General features: G+C 36.4%; 1 protein-coding gene and 1 pseudogene across 4 annotated transcripts in view, besides 1 other annotated feature; one reads left to right on the top strand and one right to left on the bottom strand.

Moving 5' to 3' along the window:
- The window catches only part of OLFM3 (olfactomedin 3), a 194,367-nt gene that overhangs the window by 125,478 nt on the left and 45,796 nt on the right, over positions 1–23,093 (top strand). The gene's annotated exons all lie outside the window — the stretch shown is intronic.
- Positions 2,413–2,914: an enhancer, noted in NCBI's record as "H3K27ac hESC enhancer chr1:102334091-102334592 (GRCh37/hg19 assembly coordinates)". NCBI's record gives its function as "activates a minimal SCP1, AML or CMV promoter by ChIP-STARR-seq in primed H9 embryonic stem cells {active_cell/tissue: H9 hESC(primed)}" and the evidence as "EXISTENCE:reporter gene assay evidence [ECO:0000049][PMID:30033119]".
- RNU6-352P (RNA, U6 small nuclear 352, pseudogene) lies at positions 11,492–11,598 on the bottom strand (annotated as a pseudogene).

Below are 23,093 nucleotides of genomic sequence, written 5' to 3'. Positions count from 1 at the left end.
TATGAGTAAATTAACTAGTAAAGTAAAACTAACCTTATTATAATTTTGTTTACAGTAAAAGTGAATGATGACCTGGGGGCTTTCTTATAAAACAAAATATTTGAACTTTAATGTTTAGACTGTGTTTTCTCTGTTGGGATCTAAAAAAACTTTTTTTCAACACGCATTTTGTTATTCTACTTGAGATTTATAGTTAAGTGACAATAAGTAAAATGGTCTTAAAACATATTCATTCCTGTGTCAGCACAAAAGTACACTTACTGATTTTTGTCAAGTATTTAGCATTATACTTTCTTGGGATTAAAAAAATAAAATTCCTGCTGTCAAGGAGTTTGGTAAGGGTGATAAATATAAAACTAAACTATTAAAAAATAAGGTAACTGCACAGTGACTGAGTATGTACAAGAGTTATAAAGTCAACATATTACTCTGCTCTGTCTAAATTTCTTACTAGAATTAGAAATACAGGATCTTTTCTTTTTTTCTTTTTTTTTCTTTTTAAAAAAAGAGTTATAAAGTCAAGAATCAATGTTTCTGTGTAGTGTCATAGGAAAAGGAAGTACTGGATTTTAAAGGTAGCTTGGAAAATTTTTATATTATACATTCTTGCACTCATTCCCACAGCATGTGGGGAAGAAAAGCCCTCAGCATATGGATATTTTAAAAAAGCTCTCTAGGTATTATAATTCTGACCTTTCTGCCTACACCCCCACAGGAAGCCACTGTGAAAAAAAAAGACCCCCATTATCTCCTAAGTTTGCTTGAGGCCAGGAGTTGGAGAAACCTTCTGAGAGGAAATGAATTTTGAGTTTAATTTGGATGTGTTAGTAGACCATTAACAGTCTGTAATATCTAAGGGTACAGAGGCATTAGAAACGTAGCAATTGGGATGTATGAGGAAGAAGTAGAACAAGCAGTTGGAAAGCTAGACAAAGATTGAAAAGGTGTTATGAAAAGTTAGGAATCTCAAATACTGGTACTGCAAGGCAACTGTGTTGTCTTTAGCTAATTCAAGGTGGATACTTTTATATCCACTAGTCCCAGTGATAGCTGTGGGGAAAAATATGACACCAGAAGTCATTGCCATGCACTGTAGCTAAAACTGTCTGGGAACATTATGAGGGAGAAAGGTGAGCATGATGTTATTGATGAATTATGGAAAAATTTTAAGGTAATGAACAACATCCCTTGAGCTACTGATGTCTCAGAGATTTTTTTTTCAGCTACAAAGAGATATATCCACATTATAGGGGGAAGGTGAAGCAATTATTTTGTAATTACCAAGTAAATTTTCACAATTTTCCATCAACTACATGCTATCTATTGGGACTATTTAACAAATAAATATGATGGGAATGTTAATATTGTTAACAGCTAATATTTTTGAATAGTGCATTAATATATTTCTGGCATTACACTAAGCATTTTAGCTGGTCAATTATTTCATAATTACCTGTATTAGTCTGTTCTCATGCTGCCATAAAGAACTGCTCGAGACTGGGTAATTTAGAAAGAAAAGAAGTTTAATTGACTCACACTTCTGCAAAGCTGGGGAGGCCTCAGGAAACTTACAGTCATGGCAGAAGGGGAAGCAAACATGTCCTTCTTCACACGGCAGCAAGAGAGAGAAAACACCAGATGGTTACAAAACCATCAGATATCGTGAGAACTCACTCACTATAATGAGAATAGCATGGGGAAAACTGCCCCCATGATTCAATTACCTCCCACTGGGTCCCTCCCATGACATGTGGAGATTATGAAAGTTACAATTCAAGGTGAGATTTGGGTGACGACACAGCCATAACATATCGTTCTGCCCCTGCTCCCTCCCAAATTTCATGTACTCACATTTCATAACACAATCATGCCTTCCCAATGGTTCCCCCAAATCTCAACTCATTCCAACATTAACCCAAAAGTCCAAGTCTAAAGTCTCATCTGAGGCAAGGTAAGTCCTTTCCACCCATGAGCCTGTAAAATCAAAAGCATATTAGTTACTTCCTAGATAAAATGGAGGTACAGGCATTGGGTAAATACTCTCATTCCAAAAGGGAGAAATTGGCCAAAAAGGCAGTCATTAAACCAGAAAGTTCCAAAATGATCACCTTTGACTGCATGTTTCACATCCAGGGGACACTAATGTAAGAGGTGGGCTCCCAGAGCCTTGGGTAGCTCTGCTCTTGTGGCTTTGCAGGGTACAGCCCCACTTCAGCCTGTTTTCATGGGCTGGCATGAGTGCCTGCAGTTTTCCCAGGTGCACAGTAAAAGCTGTTGGTGGATCTACCATTCTGGGGTCTGGAGGATGGTGACCATCTTCTTACAGGTCCAACAGGTAGTGCTCCAGTGGGAACTCTGTGTGGGGCTCTGACCCCACATTTTCCTTCCACAGTGTCCCAGCAGTGTTTCCCCATGAGGGTACCGCCCCTGCAGCAAACTTCTGCCTGGATATCCAGGTGTTTCCATACATCCTCTGAAATCCAGGTAGGGGTTCCCAAACCTCAGTTCTTGACTTCTGTGCACACACAGGCCCAATACCACATGTAAACCACCAAGGCTTGGGGCTTGCACCCTCTGAAGCAACAGCCTGAGCTGCACATTGGCCCCTTTTAGCCATGGTTGGAGCTGAAGCAGCTGGGATAGAGGGAACCTTGTCCCAAGGCTGCATACAGAAGGGGAAGCCTGGGCCCAGCCCATGAAACCTTTCTCTCTTAGGCCTCCAGGCTTGTGATGGGAAGAGCCACCATAACATGCCTTGGAGACATTTTCCCCATTGTCTTGGTGATTAACATCTGGTTCCTCATTACTTATGTAAATTTCTGCAGCTGGCTTGAATTTCTCTCTAGAAAATGGGGTTTTCTTTTTTATCACATTGACAGTCTGCAAATTTTCCAAATTTGTATGTTCTGCTTCCTCTTCAATGCTTTGCTGCTTAGAAATTTTTTCTACCATAAATTATCTTTCTCAAGTTAAAAATTCCACAGATCTTTAGGGCTGGGGCAAAATGCCACCAGTCTCTTTGCACAGCAAGAGTGACTTTTACTACAGTATCTAACAAGTTCCTTATTTCCATCTGAGACCACCTCAGCCTGGACTTCATTGTTCATATCACTATCTGCATTTGGGTCAAAGCCATTCAACAAGTCTCTGGAAAGTTCCAAACTTCTCTACGTGTTCATATCTTCTTCTGAGCCCTCCAACTGTTCCAACTTCTGGCTGTTACCCAATTCCAAAGTTGCTTCCACATTTTGAGTATCTTTACAGCAACACCCCACTCTCAGTGGTACCAATTTATTGTATTAGTCCATTCTCACACTGCTATAAGACATACCCGAGACTGGATTATTTATAAAGGAAAGAGATTTAACTGACTCACAGTTCTGCAGGGCTGGGGAGGCCTCAGGAAACTTACAGTCGTGGTGGAAGGGGAAGCAAACACATCCTTCTTCACAAGGTGTCAGGAGAGAGAAGAATGAGAGCTGGGCAAATTGGGAGCCCCTTATAAAATCATCAGATCTTGTGAGAACTTACTAGTATGAGAATGGCATAGAGGAACTGCCCCATGATTCAATTTCCTCACACCAGGTCCCTCCCACGACACATAGGGATTATGGGAATTACAATTCAAGATGAGATTTGGATGGGGACATAGCCAAACCATAGCATAACCCTCATGCTGACTTTATGAAGCAAAAACTATTATTTGTTCCTGTTATAGACATAGGTAAATGAAATATTTATAAATTAAATAACTTTCTTTGAGTCAAACAGTTGTTGGGTAGTAGAGGCAGAATTCACATCTAGGTATGGCTAATCGTGGAGTACAAGGTCTTCATCGCTGAGTTATTCTGACCTAATGGGATAAATAATCATGAAATTCACCCTGCCTCAGAAAACAGAAAACTGTCTAATAGGAAAACAACTGGTTTGTGGTATAGTATTCTAGTCTAGATTGACTTTGGAATAGTATTCTAGTCTAGATTGACTTTATAAACATTGTGTGGCTGACAAGGAAGGTAACAATCCTTCAGGAGTTCTCCATATTAAGAACATTAAGAACAATTAAGATACTAAGAACATGACACCACTGTAATATTGAAAACGCAGTCTATAATATTTATGTTAGTGATGAGGTTCTTATAGCAAAATGCTTCAGTCTTAGAAGATCACAAAGGATAGAATTACTAGTAAAGATTATCTCCAGATTTGATAAGTAAATCAGAGGTTCAACTTTTCCTGTTACATTGCTGTGCAACAATGGTCATGTTTTTAGCCTTCCTTGGCCACACCAATTACTCATCATTAAAATAAGTATAGCAATGCAAATTGACCACCAAAGCCTATTTAACGTATAGGCAATATAACTGATTGTAAGAGGTTGTAAAGTAATGTGCTTGTTTAAATGTAGTATCATAATGCTGCCCCATTGACTGCATCATAAAGGTGCAGACCAGTAAGTCACTACTGTCCATGTCAGCAATGAGCCAAGTGTTTGGGGTTTAAATAATGGCTGTATCCTCTGACTCCATTAAAATATAATATTTCTGCTCTTCTCTCAGGCACAACATGTAGTAAAACCAATAAATATTTTAAATCACACACACATAAAACTTGAAATTAGAGATGTTACATTCCATTACCGAGTCATACTTACTATCTGTATTTTAAAAACCTGCAAATATTTGAATAAAGGATAAGTGATGTTACATATTGCATTTAAATTATTACCTAAATTGCAAAAATTTTTATGTAGAATGCATATGTAAAAACAGTAATATGAGCAGATGAATGCTTATTTAAGTAATTTATCGTGTTTATATTAAGTACTATTAAATGTTATTTAATTTTCTATGTTCTTTCATAGCTATTTTTTAAATTAACATTAACCAGATTTTAAAATGCACATTACATTCCTAATATACCTTGACATTTAACAAACTACTTACGCTTTTATGAAGCAAGCATTTAAATTAAGGTACTAATCACTGAAGCTAAAAAAAGATGTGGCATTATGTATTTTTAGGATTTTATCATCTATTGATTCAATACATAAATTGCAGTGTTTGAACAATAATATTGAAGATATTTTATTTTGGTAAAATTAAAATAGAATGGATATATTTAAAGCAGTTTTATTTGATTTAATACCAACTCAAAAATACATTTTATTCAAAATGATTCAACTAAAATAAAAAAGTAGTGATCTTCTAATTCCAATACAGCAATTACATTTTAATGTACAAATAATTATATTTATTTATATTACTAAACATAGTGTTTCCTTAAATACATTTGACTGAAGAAAACAACTTTCTGGAAATTCGAGACATTTTATTTCATCTGGCTGTATTTTAAATATACAAATGAATGGTCATTAGTGCTCTACATACTGATAGATTCCTTCAGCTGATGAAATATGATTGCTGTTTTCTCTTCTGTATGCATTTGGAAAGGCAAACAGCTTTGTTGCATATAATGAAAATCACTGGCCTAACTTTCTCCTTAAGAATGATTCTGATCAAATAAAATAAACACTCAACCAAATAGCTATGCTGTGTAAATTCATTAAGATGTTAATACAAATTCTTTATTTTCCTTTTTAAAGCAAATCTAGTAGAGTTAAATGTTATATAATTTTATAGTTACATAATTTTGACCTCGTAGTCCTTGAATTTGCCAACTCTGAGCCGGTGTGGGCATTACCAGACTTTGAATGATAGCACTACAGCCAGTGTCTCCCAGGACTTGTCCAGGCTGTGACTTTCTGGGGCTATTGGATATGCTAGGATAGATACTAATGATTGTAGAGTAGGAAGTGGTTATATGGTACATTGGCACAAAGCGCTGCTGAATGACCTGCTGCTGATTTGAAGGAATCAATGTGTCTTTACTTTCTATTCCAATATCCTCCCACATGTGGAGTAATGTCACATACTTGGAGAAGCTACCAGAATATGAAACAGCATTTAAAAACATTATAAAAGGAGAAGTAAATGCCTAGGGGTCTGCAGTGTAGATTGAATTCTACTCTGGGTTTGTGCTAATAGCTAGATTGCTTTTGCAGTTATAAAGATTGAAAAGGCTTAGCCTTATTGGAAGGTAAAGTGACTTTGAAAGTAAGCCCGCAGGATCAAAAATGCCATTATATTCTCTCATGACAATCTTACTAAATCAACTTCATTTTAAGGATTGGCCAGGGCTGTTCCAATTAGGAGCACTGCTGAGAAATCACCCTGGTGCAGGGGGCTCCATAATGCTCAAAACTGGAGCAGGGAAGACAGAATAAGCAAGAAACCACTCAGAAAGTCCATGGTACAAATGGCTGAGGGAAACCAAAGTGAATTCTACATAAGGAGGAGGCAGAAATACTAATCAACTTTGAAGGTCTGAGCCAAGAAATTGAAGCCAAGGAGTTAAGCTAAAGCAAATTACCTTTGCACCAACCTAATAGATAAAACCAAATGGAATGGGCTAGAAGTCATTAAGATGAGGGCAGAAATGGGAGAATCCTGAGAAACTGTTTTTATGGGCCTCTGTTTGTGGTAGTGTGGCATGTCTTAAAAGCCTTGAACAGGGAGATAAAAATATCTTTTCAGCCATTAACTTTTCACATTCAGTGAGACATATTGGCACTGGTATTGAAGTTGACCACAAGTGTTTGAGGTAAAGGATTTACAGCCACTGAGATGAGTGAAGTTCAGAGGACCCCAGCCTCACAAAACCCCCTCAACCACACTGTCTCTTGATCTGTTCTGGTTGGGAGACTCCTGATCATGGTGCTAATAAAATGCAAAATACACATTCCTCAAGAAAACCTCATGCTTTCCAAAATCATGCATTATAAACAAGAAGGGTTATGGCATACCCCTCAAACCTATACAATTTTGTTAGAGAATTAACAAAAAACAGTAATTGTGTTACATACTAACACAGCTAAAATAATTTTATATTGCTAATAAATAAAAATACTTCAGTAAATACTGTTTAGGGTCTTAACTTTCAAGTTGAAGATTACTTGACAAAAATGGATGTAAGGATAGATTGAGGTAGCTGAGCTACAGAGACAAGAGAAAAGGCACAATTAGGGAGTAACACAGGCAACACATGTCCAAATCAATTCAAGAAAATAACTGTAGGCAAATTATCATTGTGTAAAGGACTACGTAACTGCAGCTTGCTGCTTTCAGCTATGATCATACACTTTGCTTGTTATTTTTTGTATAAAATATTAAAGATTTTGGAAAAAAAAAAAGGATATGAACCAGAACAAATTCACATTATACTGACATCACTCCCCAATTAACCAATTGCATATGAGCTAATTCAGTAACAACTGAAGTTGTTAGGAGAGTTAGGAGAAGGGTGAGTGGGCTAAATTCGAAACTAAAGTTCAAAGCCCTGAAGCAGAAGAGAAGAGGCACTGGCGCCCTCTAAGCTGTTTTCCCCATGGGGTCTCAGCCCATTTCTGAAGCATCAAGTTGCTCAGAGATCCATCCTATGAGACAATTGTCTGGGAGCCAATAGCAGTTAGGGATAGTGAATCTTTAATGAGATTTAAGAATATATCTTAAATCATTATGTGCAGTGATGAGGAAATTTTAATTTGATTTATCACTGAGATATATATTATCATAATTGAAAAATAACCATGTCTTCTGCAATGGAACTTCACTTTAGCAGACAGCGTTTGTTGGCTTAGAATAAAAATATTTTCTTTGTGTCAGTTATATAACCACAATTCTTCATGAAAAAAATAATATATTTAAATTGTGATAATTTTCCTAATTCTATAAGGGAAAATATATTGATATTTTTACGAATAAGCGTCCTTACTTTCCTGATCTAGGCTCATCACACAAACCTACAATGTTTCAGAGTATATGATTCTGTACTGAGTCTAGTAAGATTAACCAGCAAGAATGTGTGCAGATGAGAATAACCAGGAAGGGGGAAGCTCTGAAAGCATATCATAAGAGAAATGGTCAAAAATCTGGGCTGTATTCTTCTCTAAAACATACAAGTTGAAGTAGCTTGATATTTGAAGGGCTGTTATGTAGCAGAAAGAAGTAAATCTTGGCTGGTGCAGCAGAAAGCAGAACTCAGACAATGAATGGAGTATGAGTATAGCAAGGACTTATTCATGATTGGAAATATCCAATATCAAAAGCAGCTACTGGCCAGGCACACTGGCTTATGCCTATAATCCCAGCACTTTGGGAGGGGAAGGCAGGCGGATCCAAGGCAGGTGGATCGCTTGAGTCCAGTTCGAGACCAGCACGGCCCACATGGTGAAACCCTGTATCTACTAAAAAATACAAAAGTTAACCAAGTGTGATGGCTCATGCCTGTAATCTCAGCTACTTGGGAGGCTGATACATGAGAATTGCTTCAACATGGGAGGCGGAGGTTACAATGAGCTGACAGAGCAACACTCCGTCTCAAAAAAAAAAAAAAACTAATTACATAGGATTTATTTTTACCAATACTGAAGGTATTCAACTTGAAAAATCAATGTATCAGAGATTTTCAAAGGGCATTACAACACTGAGTGAAATCTGTACAAGATCATATTTATGCCTATTTTTAATGTTCTAAACTTTTACTTCTGATCATTTGGGAATAGTTTATGTATTGAAATGCTTCCTCATGGTCATTTGGTTATATGAGTGTTTCTGAAATTTGGTTGCATATCAAAATCAGGAGCTTTTGAAAAGTGCAAATACATATTTCTCTGCAAGTCTGTTTATTGAATCACATTTCTGGTGAGGTGGGATCAGGAAATCAGTATTATCAAAGGCAACAGGTGATTGTGCTGCACCTAGACTCCTCTTGAAAGCATGGGGTATCTAAGGTCATAAGAATGAATTCCTCCATTTATTGGCTAGCTAAGTTTTCAGAATTGTGCTTTTCAGTAACTAAAGTTTAGTCATTTTAAGTCAGCATCCTGTCTTATTATGGTATATTTATTTGTGAAAGTACAGCTAAACAATAATAGTAAGAGTAACAATTGCTTATAAGATAAGCACTGTGCTCAGTACTTCATGTACATTGCTTCATTTTATTTGTACAAGCCTATGAGGTCAACCTCTCAATACTGCTTTTGCTACTTTACCAAAGGATGTAACACTGAGACACTTTGTTCTCTAAAATCACAGACTATTAGAAACTCTGCCGTTTGAAATCAGATCAGTAAAAATGGAACAACCTACACTTGCCTGGAAGATTTGAGTCACTGACACCAAGAAACAGCCTCAATTTTCAACCCAGGTGCAAAATTTCAGATAAGGGTTTTTCAGATACAATATTCAACATGTGTCTTAACTTTGGAGTTTCCAAGGAAACAGAATCCAGAGTCCACTTCTTAACTCTGGCCTGATGTTAATCTCTTTACTTTGAGCATTGCTCATTTTTAGCACTATCACGATTCTTCTTTATTTAAGTATGCCTAAACACCATTTTCCCCCAATCCTATTTTTAACCCTGTTTCTTCCTTTGCCTGATTGGATGCTCCATGCTTCTGCTGTGCAATCTCCCTTCATACAACAAGTTAATAAATCTAACTTCGTTGAACTATAAGTATGCCTTTGGTGTACCTTGTCAGGTGGGCTTCATCAGTAGATATTATAATCTCTAATTTGAAGATTAGTAAAATGAAGTTCAGAAAAATAATTAATTTACACAGGATCACACAGTAAGTGACAAACCTGGCATTCCAACCCAGGTCTACATGACTACAAAGCCCATGCTCTTAACACAATGCATAGAGTCAGAGAATGTTGAAGCTTCAAAAGAAACTAAGGCATGCCATACTGCTAACTTCACATGGACAGTAAGACTAGAATTCCATTATCGTGACCTTCCAATCCACTGTCATATGGGAATAGCTTTATCTTTGTTCAGCTGCCAATCAGCAACTATTCAGGCTTTCCCCTTTCCCTGAACCTTCTATGGTGTTTCCTGGACACTTGGGCCTCACTGAGACAGTAGTAACGTAGATACTACAAACACTGGTAATGTCTAGGCAGCAGCCAGTGATGCAGTTATCTTCTGAACATCTTCTTTCTGACAGACAAAAGTATAATCAAATCTCCGGGCACGGTGGCTCATGCCTGTAATCCCAGCACTTTGGGAGGCCGGGGCGGCCAAATCACTTGAGGTCAGGAGTTCCATACCAGCCTGGCTAACATAGTGAAACCCTGTCTCTACTAAAAATACAAAAATTGTCCAGGTGCTGTGGTGGGTGCCTGTAGTCCCAGCTACTCGGGTGGCCAAGGCAGGAGAATCGCTTGAACCCGGGAAGCAGAGGTTGCAGTGAGCCGAGATCGCACCACTGCACACCAGCCTGGGCAACACAGCAAGAATTTGTCTCAAAAAAAAATATAATCAAATCAAACTATTTCATTTCAGATTTCTGTAGCTGCTGAGAACACAATGCATTAACTCTTCTGCATGTAGTTAGTAGGATCCGTCCCTAAAATGAGTGAATTATGTGAAAGCATGATCCTTCTCTGTCTTTTCTACCTATATCAAAAAGTCAGAGCATATGGGTGACTGGCTATTATGTTTAAGCCTCTTGACAACCCTGAGTTAAAGTTATCAAAAGTATGTGTTTTCCAAGCCACTTATTTAATGAATTACCTCTCAATCCCACTAAAGTATCCCTTATTGCCTAACAGTGGAATCCTTCTTGAGCCACTGATTTTTGGATATTAAGACTACCTAATGCTATTTATTGTAAATATGATGGAAGTTAATATCATGTAAAAGACACATACATGATTTCATGAAGTTGATGGAAGTGTTATGAGAGAACTGGTCTGACCAAATACAAAGGGATTACTAAACAGTAGCTGGAAGGTATACATTCTTTAACGATTGAAGAGAAAATTTATGGGGCGGACTCCTCAAAAGACAATGATATGGATATCAAAAGAATAAAAGAGGGTCTGAAAAAATTATGGAATTCCTTGAAGAGTTTTGCAAAAACATATCTCTTCATGATTGTGGAATGAAACTAAATAATGAGATTGTTAAAATAATTGCATAAACACACACATATATGAATTAAGACTGTTATTCATGCTGAGTTAACACGCAGTTGCAAATACATCCTCACAACAAGGATAAGATTATTTTTATTTTTTTAGTTCAAGATAAATTTTTAAATACAGCTTTTCTTTACTTCTAAGAAATATTGGTACCTATTTAAAGTGGATTACTTTTAAATGTTTTCTGTTAACAATTAACTCTGGATGACAAGAACTCTGGACCCCCTTTCTTGATAAGAAGCATGTGTGCCTCTGGGCAATCCTCACTCACACTTCTCTTACATAGCTGGCCTTTCCCGCAACCCCACTTTGGTTGTGCCTCCTTATTGTCTACACACATTAGCACTTCACTTAATTCCACAGTCTCTGAGCTGGCTTCCATGGCTCCTTCTACTCAAAAAGTGTTTTGTTTACCAGCTCCTTCTGCATCTTCTGGGAGCTTGTTAAAAATATAAAATCTCAGACTGTATCCCCAATTTCTTGGGCAGGGGCCACACTAACCTTCCCTGTATCATTTCCATGTTAGTATATGTGCTGTTCAAGCGAGCACTCTATTCCCAACTTCTGAATCAAAATCTACATTTTCACAAGATCCTCAAGTGATTCATTTGCACCTTAACATTTAAGAAGCACTGGCCTAGACAATTCTTAAACACTTTCTGTTATATAGGTTGAATTTTCCTAATCTGAAAATCTACATCTGAAATGCTCCAAAATCCAAAACATTTTGAATACCAACATGACACTCAAAGGAAATGATCACTGGAGCATTTTGGATTTTGGATTTTTGGATTAGAAATGCTCAATCAGTAAGTATAATGCAAATATTTCAAAATCCAAAACACTTCTGTCCCCAAGCATTTCAAATAAGAGACATTTAACTTGTATTGTATTTTGTGAAATCTAGAGGCTGCTTTTGTCTTGTTTCTCTCTCTTGTCTTTGCATCTAATTATTCACAAAATCCTGTGTAATGTGCCTAGCCCATGTCTTATTCTTCCCCAGTCTTTCTGTTATTTCTTATGCTGACGCTGAAATGGCCGCCTAACTACTCTCTCAGCTGGCATTCTCACTCCTCGCCCACTCCCTAATATTTATTGCATCTTTTCTGAATGATATTCCTCTAAATAACAAACTGGTTTGGTATCATCAGTTTCTTCCTGAAACTCCATAAAGACATAGTGGTAGCAATGTTTAATCTTCTCTTTGGAGAGCTACATGTTTCTGCTACCTCTTTTTCCTGCTACCTTTCCAACTCTATTTCCTCTCTTCCTTCCCCCTATCATGCATTTTTCACTTCCCCCACTGCAAGCTACTCAGATCTCCTAAATAACATGGGATCTTTCACACTTCAGAAATGAGTTTTCACATGCTGTCACCAGTGTTGAAATGGCCTTTCCTTCCTGATTTTCTTGGGAAATTTATTGAAGCCATGGAAATCCACTATCCCTCTGAAGCCTCCTCTATCCCACCCAAATGGAATTAATCACTAACAGTTAATGACTGTATTAGTCTGTTCCACATTGCTATAAAGAACTACCTGAGACTGGGTAATTTATAAAGAAAAGAGGTTTAATTGACTCACAGTTCTTCAGGCTGTACAGGAAGCATGGCTGGGGAGGCCTCAGAGAACTTACAATTATAGTAGAAGGCAGAGGGAAAGCAGGCACATCTTACATGGCTGGCACAGGAGGAAGAGAGTGAAGAGGGAGGTGCTACATGCTTTTAAACAACCATATCTCGTGAGAACTAACTCACAATCACAAGAACAGCAAGGGGGAAATTCACCTCATGATTCAATCACCTCCCACCAGGCCCCTCCTCCAACATTGAGAATTACAATTTGATACGAGATTTGGGTGGGGACACAAATCCAAACCATATCAATGACCCATTGCACATTGTACACATTATGGGTCCCATTATATTGAAATTATACTTACAGCTATATTTCTTTCTTGTTCCTGTCAGTATCCCACTAGAATGGGAGATCTTGAGTCAGAGTTAATTGCATTAGTTCCTGATCTCTAGCATTTAGTGTCTAGCATATAGAGGATGATCAATAAATCCTTCCTGAATGCATAAATGCAGGTTTCATGTTTCACTGTGAAACAGACCTTGCTCCTCAAATAATTCTACATATATTTTTGGTAGAAAAATATTAACTCACTTATATGGATACTTTAATAGATATTAGTACACATATTATTGAAAGGGAAAATATATGAGAGAAAATTTATTTTTTATCATTGACATATTTATTAACCAGTCCTGTAAGAAAAAGCTATTAATGAGGTTCACATGAATAATATACTATGATTATGAAATACCAGTTATGAGGAGTTTCCAGTTTTAAGATCAATAACTTCTTTAAAACCTTATGGATTGCAATAAAATGTAAATTGTGACCTACACATGCATTTTCAATGTTCAGATAAGAAAAAAGTTGTTTTGTTTTGTTTTAAAACAGTGTTGAATGAGTGGAGAGGTAAATCAAATGTTCCAAATATGAAGTGCAAAATATTACAATGATCTGTGCTTAAATTGCAGCCATACGGCCTAGGCAATGGTTAAAAATGAGAGCACATCAAAATTACCTGGGGAATTCTTGGAAACCATACTTAAATCCTACTTCAGTGCAGAACACCTAGAAAGGACTCAATAAAGTTTGGTGAAAGTGAAAGAGAAGAAAGGAGAAAATATGGAAGGAAGAAAAGGAGACAAAGAGGTAGAAAAGAAGGAAAGACAGATGAAAGTAAGAATGTAAGAGAAGGAAGGCAGGAAGAGAGAAGGGGAAAGGAGAGGGGGGAAAGGAGAGCATGGGGAGCGGGTGGAATGCTTTGCAAAGCTGATCCATTTTCAGTATGGTAAATATATTAACACTCCTCACGTTACAATGTTTATATAATGTATATATGTCTCTTTGCAGAGACCTGATAAGAAGCCTCTACACTAGATTTACAGTTTTAGCTCTGTACATTATGACTCATTATGTGTAAATTTATAATCCAAATTACTTGTTGAATAATGTTTGTTTGTAATTTTGAATCTATTTTCTTGATAATGCAAGGTTCTCCAAGAACTCAGATATTTCTATGTGTCTGTTATACTTCCCAAGGAAAATACTGTTTTCCTGACAACAGTTACTTCCTTTTCACAGTCTCTTTACATTCAGTAGCCCTATATTATGTTCTAGGTAAATATCACTACTTTATTTTATTAATGAAAAGAGAGATGAAAATGTAAAGTACTGGGGAAACAGATGTACATTGACAAAGAAAGAGCTAACATACATAAATGTCTTTTGGAGTATAGGACCAAGATCCCTATGACTTACATTTTATCTTGTGTTCAGGGCCCATAGTAAATTTTACTGTCAGTTTCTCTGAGTGAACTAGAAATTTAGATCTGAATTTATAAAACTAACTCAAGCATTATCTTTTCCACTGTGGTCTTTCCTGACCATTACACTATGTGGTACTAATTCCCTCTTCTTTTTCTCCTCCATTATATCCCTATAGGTACTTACAAGTGTGGAACTATTTGAATCCAATATACATAATCACTTGTATTCTGTTACAATCCCAGTTTGATGAAATACTCAGAAGGCTGTATCATATTAATCTTAAATTTTCAGAATAGTACAGTTCCTGCCCCAAAGAATGCACTTGATAAATGTTTAATAGACCAGTGCCTTTAAAGGTCAGTGAGAGAGACATAACATACTTCTGTTTATGTTTTTCTGACAACAGAAAATAATACATAATTAAGCTGGAAAATGTGGAGAGAACAAAAAAATATTAAGTAGCAGAAAAAAATCAGCTATTTGATTTCAATAACAAGAGACAACCTTTATCAACATTTTTTTCCTTTACTTATCTATTGCTATGTTCAGACGTAAGTCACTGGTCTCTTTTCAGATGAGTATTTGCAAAGGGAGTTGTTTTTCAATTGAGTTACTTATGTCCTCCTGAAACAGTTTTTATAAGGTTAAAAGTGTTTAATTGCATTGAAGCCAAAAAGCGCAATTTAATGAAGTAAAGGGTTTATATGGCTTCATCTATGTGGTGGTTATTTTAATGAACCAGACTTAACTGTTTCCGTCAACCTCTCATAAAACTGTATAACTCTTAGGATGCTTTCAGTGATAAATAGTGCCTGACTTATTTCAACACCAGATCTTTAGAGGTTTATATTTAACCGTATTTGTCTGCCTAGAGCTTTCAAAACACAAAATAACCTTTACTACACATATTGATGAGAGGACAATGATGACAAACAGTGTAACTATGCTGCTACATAAAACCCTACTCTGCAGATCTCCTATTTGCATGAATTTGTTAAAAAGCAGACTACAGATGTAATCTTCTTTCATACTTTGATGTTTGGGGTTGTTTACTACCACCAGATTTTTGGTACCTGTTAAACATACATTTTATATGCCATGAGGGAGATAAGCTTTATGAAACAACTCATAACAACTTTTCAGAAAATTGCACATTTGAAGATCCAATTTTGTTCTTTCACACAACCACTGAAACAGTCTCCTTTCTGATCACCAGGCAATTTCCCAATCTCCTTAAAATTTATCTTTCTAAACAATTTCTTCCAGAAAAGCTTTTGGCAATAATTTAACACTTCAGTCTGCCCTAGTGAGTTGGGTGAATTAGAAAAGTCTGAAAATAGATTGCAGTGAAAATAAAGCAGGGGGACCAAGCCCTTACCTGAGTGTCAATGCCTCCCTGGTGAGAGCTTTGCTCCATCACATTCAAAGATAAACTCAATAAGTGAAGACATGTTGCTTTTAATTTTTGTGCTTAGCTTTTAGCACTCACTGATAAAGCATGCAAATAACTAACCTATAATGCTTCACCCACATAATTCTAATTGTTTTAAAAAGACTAAATTTGAAATCAATATTGGCTATTTTTTTGCATACCTATGAGGTGAGTGTGTGTATGAGACACAGTGAGATAGCATAACTAACAACACACTATCTGGGATCTGACTATGGGGGTTCATATACTGGCCCTGTCATTTATTAGCTGTGTGACTTCAGCGAACATATTTCACCTCTCAGTGTCTCTGTTCCTTAACTATAAACTGGTTACGATAGCAATACTACCTCATCGGGTTTGTCTGAGGATTAAACGACTTCATACATGTAAAGTTCTTAGAATAGTGCCTGGCTGACAGGCTTAAATAAGGAAGCTTCTCAATAAAACATAGGACAGGCACATTTTATATACTTTCTAGAATGTTTGAAGTCAATCCATATGAACAAACCATATTAGAAAGATGAATATTTAAACTCTAAAGATAAATTTTATATTGTTAATTTACTCCAAAGTTTGATGAACTTCGCTTGTCACTAACATTTGTGCTTATGCTTTCTTCCATGAAGATGGGTAGAAGATGCATACATTTCTTTTGCATAGTGATGGCAAACATTGATTGAGCACTGATCATGTTCCAGGCCCTATAACAGGGCTTTCTATGTAGCAGTTTATTTTATCCTCACAAATACCAAAGAGTATCTCTTATCATCCCCAATTTACACATGAGAACACCACAGCTCTGGGAGGTCACATGGCTAGTCATCTACTAGTGCCAGAACAGGGAGTGAAAGGGTACACGTGAGACTGCAGGGATAAAGACTGAGCTCTTAAGAGTGGCACTATATCATGAAAGGGGCTAGATAGGAAATTTTGTTTAATATCTTTATTTCCTATTTGAAGAACCTAAGACCCAAAGCAAGGTAGTGACTAAGCTGAAGGTTTCTGTCACACCACTCTGCATTCTTCGTTTTTATTTCTGGACTAATCCTGGATTTATATTTTCCCACTTCTTCAATTTTGAGTAGAAAGAGAAAAAAAAATGTTTGCCCTGAATATATTTCTCTCCCACACATCCATTTTTTCTCCTTTGAAGTAGCAACAACAGCTGCCAACGGAGGATCCCCCGGGCTTATAGAGCATCAGTCAGCTTCACAGATGAAGGCAAAGATGAGAAGACAGAAATCCTTCCTTTAAAGAACTTTGCAAATGTTTTTCATTCTAAATTCATTCTTTCATTAGTGAGTACTTTTAAGACAATATTGAAACCTCAAGGCAAAAATGGCAAAGCACTGATTCTAGGACCTACAAATGGTCCCTAATTGGTTGCCAAGGGCCAAATTGAAGGAGATTTGGGTGAAAGGAGACTCAGATCTCTATCTTCTCTAAACCATTTTTTTTTAAATCTGTCTTTTCTTTTTAAATTTTATCATATTTATTGAGGGTGTACAACATGATACTTGATATACATATAGATAGTGAAATGGTTTTTTAAAAATATTCTCTACATACCATACGTCCCTTCTGCCACCCCTATGCTATTAGAGAAAAATTTGGCTAGCCAAAGGCAAGAAGAAGAAAAGATTGCTTCCATATTTATGTAGGGTTCCAGTGACCCGTGAAGCTTATCAATAGAAGACAGAATCAAAGTTGGAGTTAGTACTTCTTGGCTTAGACCAAAAGTGCTTGCATTCTACATGTGAAAAATGGAAGGAAAAAATACATGTAACTATAAGCATAATGTTTCAATACTTTTCACTATCCATTACCCACGTATAGGTCCATCATGCACACATAAAAACATACATGCAAAACACAATACTGGAATACATTGTACTGGTTTGTTTTGCAAGAATAAGCTGTACTGTATATTCACACTAAAAATGGTTTCCTTTTTAATCTGAGAGCAGGCCAGAAATTAAATAGTAACATATTCATTTATCCATTTATCTCATAAATATTTATTGTGAAACTACTGTGTGCTAAACACTCTTCTAGGCTAAGAATACCCCAGTAAAGAAACCAGGAATCATTTCTCCCTCATGGAGCTTGATTTCTAGTGGAGAAAACATAATAAGCAAGATGTATAAATATAATATATAGCATGCTACCTAGTTCTAAGGAGAAAAAAAGTAAAGCAGCAAAAGACAATATAAAGCAACCAGGTGACAAGAGTAGACATTTTAGATAGTGTGGCCAGAAAAGATCTTATGAGAGATGATCTTGGGAGGAAGGAGAAAAAGAAGTGAGAAGATATTGAGAGATTGTAATTTCCACAAGAGAAGGGCAAGTGCAAAGTCCCTAAGGTGAAAGATTGCCTTGCATCTCTGAGAAACAGCCAGGGGGCCAGAGTGCCTCCAGAGGAGTTAACAAAGGGGAGAGCTGAAAGAAATGAAATCAGAGTGATAAGAGGAGGCCAGATTATGTAGAACTTTATAGTGCAAGCTAAATATTTTGACCTTCACCATGAGAAAGATGGGAATCTAGGCACTGGAATAACATAATTTGATTTATATTTTAAGAAGATAATGTTGGTGTGCAGCAGTAACAAATGGTACAAAGTAACAAGTGATACAAAGTCAATAACTCGTGACTTTTGTAACAATCCAGATAAAAGACAATGGAGGCTTGAAGCAGCACAGTGGCAGCTGGGATGGTACAAAATACTTGAATGTTGATATATTTTGAGAGTAGACACTAGCTGACTGAATTGATAAGAGATGTGGAGGAAAAGACATTAAGATTGAAACTTGACTTTTTGGCCTGAGCAACTTAACTAGAGTGTTGCCAGTTAACTGAAATGGGAAGATTGCAGGAATGGCTGCATGTGTATTTTTGTTGTTGTTTATTTGTTTGGTGTATTTTTGTTTTGCTTTCTTTTCTGGGGTTGGGGAGCCATAACAGGATCTCACTTTTTCAATGTGCTCAATTTAAGATGTCTGTTAAACACTGAAGTGGAGATGTCAAGTAGATAATTGGATATGCAGTTCTGAATTGATAGGAGAGGTCTGCTGGGAAAAAATGAATTTGGGAATCATTAGCATATAGATGAGGAAGAATCAGCAAATGACACTAAGAAAGAGAGGTCATAAAATTGGAGGAAGACTAGTGAGTGTGGCATCCTGGAAGCCAAGTGAAAAAACTATTTCAAAAAGGAGAAAGTAAATTCACATGAATGCTGCCCATAGGTTAAGAAAGTTGGGGACTGAGAATTGACTGCTAGATTAGCAATCTAGGGGTAACTGGTAGCCTGATGAAAGCAGTGTCAGCAGAGTGGAGAAGTGTAAACAAAAATGCAATTAGGAAGAGAGAAATTGAAGATGGTAAGTATAAACAATTCTTTCAGAGGGTATGCTGTAAAGGGAGAGTGAGAAATGGTGGAATTCCTGGAGAGAAAATAAGATCAAGAAAGTTTGTTTGTTTGCATTTAAAGTAGGAAAAGTATGGTGGTATTTATGATGCTGGGAATGATCTGCTAAAGAGGGAAAATTTATCGACGTTGGAAAAAGAGGAAATAAGAGTTGTCTTTGAGTAGGTGAGAGAGATATAACCTAGGGCTGTCTACTCAAAGGGTGGGCCAAGAATTGCAGCATCAGCATCATCTGGGAGCTTGTTAGAAAAGCAAACTATTTTGTCCTGTCCTAAAGCTAAATCAGACTCAGGTGAGACCTGGAAATTTGGGTCTTAACAGGCTTGCAAGTAATTCTTATGCATGATTGTCCAAAACAACTGATTTATTGCACAGAGGAGAGCTCTGCCTTATCTAGGAACACAATCAATTTATCCATGGCAACCAAAAGGAAGGTACACTATGTGGGCACAGGTGAGGAAGTAAGCAGATATGGTAATGGGACCTTATGGAAGTTTTCTAGTAGTTACCTCGACTTTTCAATGAAGAGGGAAGCAAAAATAGCAATCAGTCCCTTTCCTCTACTTTGAATTGGACTATTAGCCCCAGAGCCACAGACTGATGGTGTCATCCAGCAAAGTTGTATTATTCTCTTCACCCAAGGTGACTGAATTGCAAGACAGCATATACTCCAAGCTGCACTCAGCTACCCCTTTGCAAAGCTGCAAAACTTTCCACCTTCTCTAGGCCTGATTGTTCCTTCAGCTGGTCTGTTCCTTTTGGCTGGCTCAAATCGTGGTATTTCTTGTCAAAAATAGGGTTGCCATTTATTTTGCATTTGACATACTATAGACACTTTCAAAATATGTCATCTCATTCAGTCTCTCAAATAACCATTTCACATTGGTGCTTCTATCTTCATTTTACAGATAATAAAATGGAGACTGAGAGACTTACTTAGTCAATGGTATCTTTCTAGTAAGTGGAAGAATCTGGAGGACTATCCACTAAACTGCTTTTAAGGTGCCACAGAGGGTGGAGAGCGGTTTATGTACCTGGTCACTCTCAAACCACACCCCATCCAGGGTATCCAGCATTCCCCAAGTGATTTCAACACAAGTACTCTGTCTTCCACCTTCTTCTATTTTATGTTACTCTTCCTATTTTTCCTACTTAACTTGCTAACAAGAGCCCACTGTTTTTTTCTAGAGGTCACTCTGGTTTAATCAGTCAATACAGTTCATTTTTCGATGTTCTACCCAATTGCTGTCCTCCTTCTTATCTCTTTTTTTCTTCTCCTCCTCCTTCTTCAATAATTTCTTCAGCCCTGTATTTGTACCTTTACAACTATATCTAATAAGCCACTTTCCCCTCTGCCTGAAGCCATTTACAAATTTAAATTTTGTTTTAAATAATAAAAATAAAGTATGAGTACACTATTTCTTCTTAAAGCTTCTACTGTTTAGCAAGCAATCTAAGTCTCTTCTCATTTTACCTAAAGTCAAACTTTTAGGTCACAATTACCTCATTAACTGTTTATTTTCTACCATATTTTATGTGGTCATCAGGTTTTTTTCATGTATTTGATTTTTCATATCTACCTAGGTTGTGTCTTCTAGAAACCTTCCCACATCTACCATACATACAGTCCCAAACTAGGAAATATATATGATTATATGTCTGTGTAGGGTCATTAAAACAACATTTAACTTTTGTTCTACAAATAAAAGAAAAAAATAAAATTCTAATGACAGAACATGCTAATATTATATAAATTACCTATGAGTCATTCTCACTCAATATTTATTTGCTTATTTATTATTTACTATATAAGTCTATCATGAAATATACTCTCTGGGTAATAAAAAGGACAGGCTACTATAAAAAATCTAATGAATAAATATATTAATCAATAGCTTTCAGCATTCCATGAGCAATAATGCACAATTGTAGGTTATATAGTTATTGATCCACTATGAAATTCCACAAAGAAAATAAGTGTGTAGTCAGGTCACATTTTTTGTGAGATTATTAGATTTAGTAATATTTCACTATTTACTAGTGATAGATTTTGGTTTGTTATTTTGAAGGACTGTATAAGTAATTAAGTTTATAGTTTACCATGAATTGAATAAATGAAAATTGTGGTAGTTTTAAAACTGCATTTTTACGTTGACCATTTTTTTCATACATGTAGGACACATTATTCTCACTAGTCCATTAAGTTGTTGCAGCCTAGGGAAATTAATTCTTTTCTGAACTCTAAGTGTGGGGCACATTATCATCCAGTGACCCTCTGTACTACAGGTAATGCATATCAGCTGACAATAAATTCTATCTTCTTCATAAAGTTATGCTTCTACCTGTGTATCTTATTCTGATGATTGACGCTCATCATCCAAACCCCCAAACTAAACGTTCTCCCAGGTAATTTCCACTGCGTCACATTTATTCAGTCACTAAGGACTGCCAATTGTTGTGCAGACCTTTATGGAATTCATCCTTTTGAACCTCACTGACAGTTTATTATTTCAGGACCTCATCATCTCTTGCCCAAACCGTGAGAATATACCTCTAAGTGACCTTCTTGTCTCTGATATGCTTTGCACTCTCTGCAGCCCCTGCCTGCCTATCCTGCATCATAAAAATGACTAAGCAATGATTCACAACATAAAACTAATGATCTTACTGCTTTGCTTTAAACTCTTGAATTACATAGAAGATAAAGTCCAAACACTTTTGGGTGACCCTGAAGCCCTGAGCTGGTCACAGCCAGCATTTCCAGCTTCATCTCATTGCCAGTGGTAATATCATTACCATTCACACTATGCTTGTGGAACTTCTGCAACTACTGGGTTGCTTGCCCTAAACACAGTCCGCTACTTCTCAATAGACTAATCCTTTCTCCCACTTACAAACTAGGACTCAACTTTTCAAATGGATATCACTTCAGTAGACTATGAGAGTACTGCAAACTATTTAGCTCTTTGCAAATTGCAGCTGTTTTAATTTCCCACAACTAATAATTATTGTAATTTGAGCTTTTCTACTTCAATGTGTATCATTTAAACCTGTTCTAAAAACAACACAGTTTAGCTTCTATGTTGTTCATAAACATCGCCGAATCATAAACTTTTACCATTGTTCTACTTCAATTCTTTAGTGTAGTAATTTGCATCTCTGGAAAATTACAAGAAGCATTCCATTTGTATTGTTTTTCTCTATTTCTTCCTTTCTTTATAATTTGCAAATCAGAGCACTGTTTTCCCCTGACATTCAATCTTATATTCTTCTAAAAATGCTACTATTTTGTAGGCTGATAGCTCAATAATAAGTATAATTACCATCTGCCACCTCATTTCTTAAATTATCTAGTAATTATATGTATATTTTCTTTCAATTTTGGAAATTAAGCTCTTGAAAAGACACCCCCCTTCTTTATTAAAGTAAGATAGAGTTCCAGGTGTATTTTTCAACATTAGATTTGTAAATCCACTTTGCTTTTTGTCATTAACACATTGTAATACTAATGTAAAATTTCACAGGGCTTTCTGCTAAGTTTAATACATAAAATATTGTGCCTTTATTGGTTTTTCATATGGCATGATTTTTGAAAGAATAGAAAAGTAATAATATTTGGTTTTGTGGGCACTGTGGTTAAAAAATAAGAGTTGATTAAAGTCATTTGGATATATTTTGAAAAAAAAAAATGGCCTGGATTCTAAGCTAATAGTTGCAAGGAAGATTTGAGGAGTCTTTTAGCATCCACCCCAGTTTAAAGCTGTTTTTGAAAGTAAAATATACACACACTATAAATATGTATCTCTTTCAGTTTTATTAAGGACATTTTATTTATTTCTCCT

This window comes from Homo sapiens, chromosome 1 (assembly GCF_000001405.40).
Source record: "Homo sapiens chromosome 1, GRCh38.p14 Primary Assembly".
Classification (NCBI taxonomy): domain Eukaryota; kingdom Metazoa; phylum Chordata; class Mammalia; order Primates; family Hominidae; genus Homo; species Homo sapiens.
The sequence above is the reverse complement of the archived record's forward strand: the minus strand, read 5'-3'. Positions and strand labels throughout refer to the sequence as shown.